The sequence below is a fragment of the Homo sapiens genome, chromosome 4 (assembly GCF_000001405.40).
Source record: "Homo sapiens chromosome 4, GRCh38.p14 Primary Assembly".
Lineage (NCBI taxonomy): Eukaryota > Metazoa > Chordata > Mammalia > Primates > Hominidae > Homo > Homo sapiens.
The window spans coordinates 167378262-167381806 of record NC_000004.12 but is presented as its reverse complement, the minus strand read 5'-3'; the positions used below and the strand labels follow the sequence as shown (position 1 = coordinate 167381806).

The 3545-nt window shown below is 42.1% G+C and overlaps 1 annotated feature.

Annotated features, from left to right (window-relative positions):
- Window positions 596–745: an enhancer, noted in NCBI's record as "active region_22123". NCBI's record gives its function as "activates an Ori minimal core promoter by ATAC-STARR-seq in GM12878 lymphoblastoid cells {active_cell/tissue: GM12878}" and the evidence as "EXISTENCE:reporter gene assay evidence [ECO:0000049][PMID:35858748]".

The following is a 3545-nucleotide window of genomic DNA, read 5'->3' as shown; positions in this document are numbered from 1 at the left end:
CTCCAATATTTCAGAAACAAAATGGATTTGGAGAAAATATCTTCTTTATTATTATATTACATTAATTAAAATAGCTCTGACTCTATAAATTTTCATTCTCTTTCTCTAGTGCTTGATTCATTTATTTCTTTCTTTTCTGTCCATATTTTTTCCAATCCAGGATTGGTGTTTTTTCTCCAAATCTTTCATAAAATATTGATACAACCACACGTCTTCACAGTGTTTCTTAAAAGCACAAGTTCTCAATTACTTGTTAAATGTAATCTGCAATGCTGGATGCCAGAAGAACAAATAATAAAGAAACAAGAGAGCCAGTCAGCCAAATGGGATCTACACTTCTCAGGAGAGGCTCAATATAGTCCTTTTATTGGTGTGAGAGTTGAGGGGAAGCCCAACCACTTGATGAGAGAGAGAGAAAAAATTTTGTTACATTTTCCTGGAGATCACGTCTAAAGGCAAGGTAGCTGAACTTCAGAGAGGTATCACAAAACAGGTTGCATTTAGAGCCAGTCAGTGCCATACGGGAGCCAGAACTCTCTACAACCCATTGACATCCCACCCTCACCAAGTCAATAAAGAGGAGTGAGAAGCTAGGTGGTTGTCAGCCTGTAGATGAAGTATGCAATATTGTGCGAGGTTATTCTCCCACTTCCTCATGGGGGAGGGAGGGAAGGTGCTTTCCCCTTCTTCAAGAGAAGTGAGAGAGATTTCAAAAGATCATCCTCCGAGTGAAAGAGTGCTATCTCATTCTTCTGATGGAGGATACTGATAGGCAGAACTTATAGATCTACCCAATTGCCACCATAAGAATGCAGTTCTTATGCATTCCCATGAGCTCCCACAGAGTTCATGGGAGAGCATTGTAGGAGCCTAAGAGAGTGCTGGTTTGTTGCTTTCTGTACCCATCCCACATGTGAGTGAAGAAGAGTGGGATGCTTAACAAGTGATCTCTGAATTTTAGGGGCACAAATGAGCATGGAACCCAGTGCCACCTTCCAGTCTAGAGATTCCTGAAGGCAGGTAACACAATCTCTCTGGTCCCCGCTAATCCCTCCTTGAAGAGCTCCATGGCATTCCAGTTTCCAGCCACCTCAGGTCATATGAAAAGATGGTCTGCCATTCTTGTGGCTTTCTCACGAGGAACGCAGAGGATGGAGGTGGGACAGGAGCAGCACATCTCCACAGGCAACTACAAAGCCGGGTGATTGCTAAGCCTGTCCTGGAGAAAGGATGAGGCATCCATACCTGAAGAGAACAAAGGGATACATGGAAACCCTCCTTGGGAAGTGGTGTTCTCAAGCTAGAAAAGGCAAAGACAAAATTGATTCTTAATTCAAGAAACTCAGGCACACCAATTCGCAAAGACTACAGCATAATCAGAGCCACTGACATTACACAGACGCTGACTGAACCAGAGAAAGACTATGAACCTCTTTGCAACTGTGTATCACATAAGAAAGAAATATCCAGCGGGGCGCCGTGGCTCACGCCTGTAACCCCAGCACTTTGGGAGGCCGAGGCGGGCAGATCACGAGGTCAGGAGATCGAGATCATCCTGGCTAACACGGTGAAACCCAGTCTCTACTAGAAATACAAAAACAAAATTAGCCGGGCGTGGTGGCGGGCGCCTGTAGTCCCAGCTACTCGGGAGGCTGAGGCAGGAGAATGGCGTGAACCCGGGAGGCGGAGCTTGCAGTGAGCCGAGATCGCACCACTGCACTCCAGCCTGGGTGACAGAGCAAGACTCCGTCTCTAAATAAATAAATACCTAAATAGAAAGAAATCTCCCACTTCTCATCTCTATCCTTAACCTCAAAGGCTCCTAAGCCTAGAAAATGAAGAAGGAGCCAAGACTTTGGGGTCTGACCACACCTGCCTTCCCCTACTTTAAGCAGCTGTACATACTTTGGTGGTCTGCTCTGGGGAAAGGAGTGAGATCATTTTTGAATTAAACGTGAAACCAAAGTTAGAAAGGAATAAGTCTGAGGCTTAAACGTTAAAATTCTGCTATTCTAGTAAACCAAGTGACAAAACAGTTGCAGAGCCAGAAAATAAAGTGTTGTTAAGGACCTAAGCATGCAGTGGGAAAGACAAAAAAGCAGTTACTGGGAGAAATAAACACATAAAAGAACTGAGATTACTCGTGTATATATAATAGACATTTAACAAGCTGATTTTATCCTAACTCTTCTGAAGTTCTGTTCCCTGCAAAGGTATTATGGCCACATATCTCTAGATCTGGTGTTAATATGCATTAGAATTTTTTCTTAAATAAATATTAAAAGTAGCCAAGTCACAGTGTGTACACAATTCTGGAACACTGGTCCTACAGATTAGGCTAGGCAGAGCTAGACAGCCGAGGTTACACCATAATCAGCATTCCAGTAACAACCCCCACCCCACTCCACCTTGCCCAGTACTATCAATATTGATAGGAAAATGGGACGACCCTCTGTACCATTATGTAGCAATGGCAACACTCTAGCCAGTCAAAGAGATGGCTTTATTAGGAAAGAGAGCCTCTGGCACTCAAGGCTGTCATCACCCAATCTATCTCTGAGCTAACTGAGTGTTCCTGAGCCAAATTCCTGCTAAACTCCCCAAATATCAGAAAAATGAAACCCCCAGGCCACCAGATCTGTCATGGTTCTTTCCTTTAGATATTTGCATTCCACTGATATGCATGTCTATTTTCCCTGATCTGCTAGTCCATCAACCCTGCCTGAAAAATAAATGAGGTTAGTGTGGCATGAATTGTACTTAGTGTGCCCATGGTGGGTCTTAATGATTACGCCTTCCTCTCCTAGGGGCTCACAAATCATTCGTTTAATAATTGGATTTAGAATCATTTGGGGAATTGATGTCAAGGTCACAGACATGTAGTTTACAAAAGGCACCTGCTTTCCCTTTCAGAGGATCAGAGTAGGCATCTCCCAGCACCTCTCCGTCTTCAGTGGCTCACACAGAGCCCCTGCCAGTGGTCTCCATGGTGAAATGTCTTTATTCCCTGACAAGTCCTCAGACCTGGAGAAATGAACACATTTAAAATTGCTAGGGGTTTTCTTATAAACCCTTCACCCACCTTAGGTTTAAATTCATTTTCCTCAATGTTCATTCCAACTTTTTTGTGTGTCAGAAATTCATTCTATTTAGAGAAGGTGAATGCAACATCAATGTATTGATATTCAGTTTGTTGAATGAGAGCGATTGTGAATCTTATATAATCTGCCAATTCATGGAGGATTGGGGATGTACTTAATTATAATATCTAGCATTCTACTTCTGCATGGGACATTGCTGATAAAGATTTCCTTATAACTTAGCTTTGAGAGATCTAATTCATCCATTAGGCTCCTGCTGAAGCATATGTAATGTCTAAAGACTTCTTAAGATGAAAAAATGAATATGTATTCATTTCAAGTCAAATTTCCGAAGTTACTTCCAAATACCTGGAAACAAGTCTTACAAATGTGTGTGGAAGGATAAATTTTGTCTAATAGTTATGTGTTAAAATCATTTAAATTTGTCTCATTTTATTTCTAATT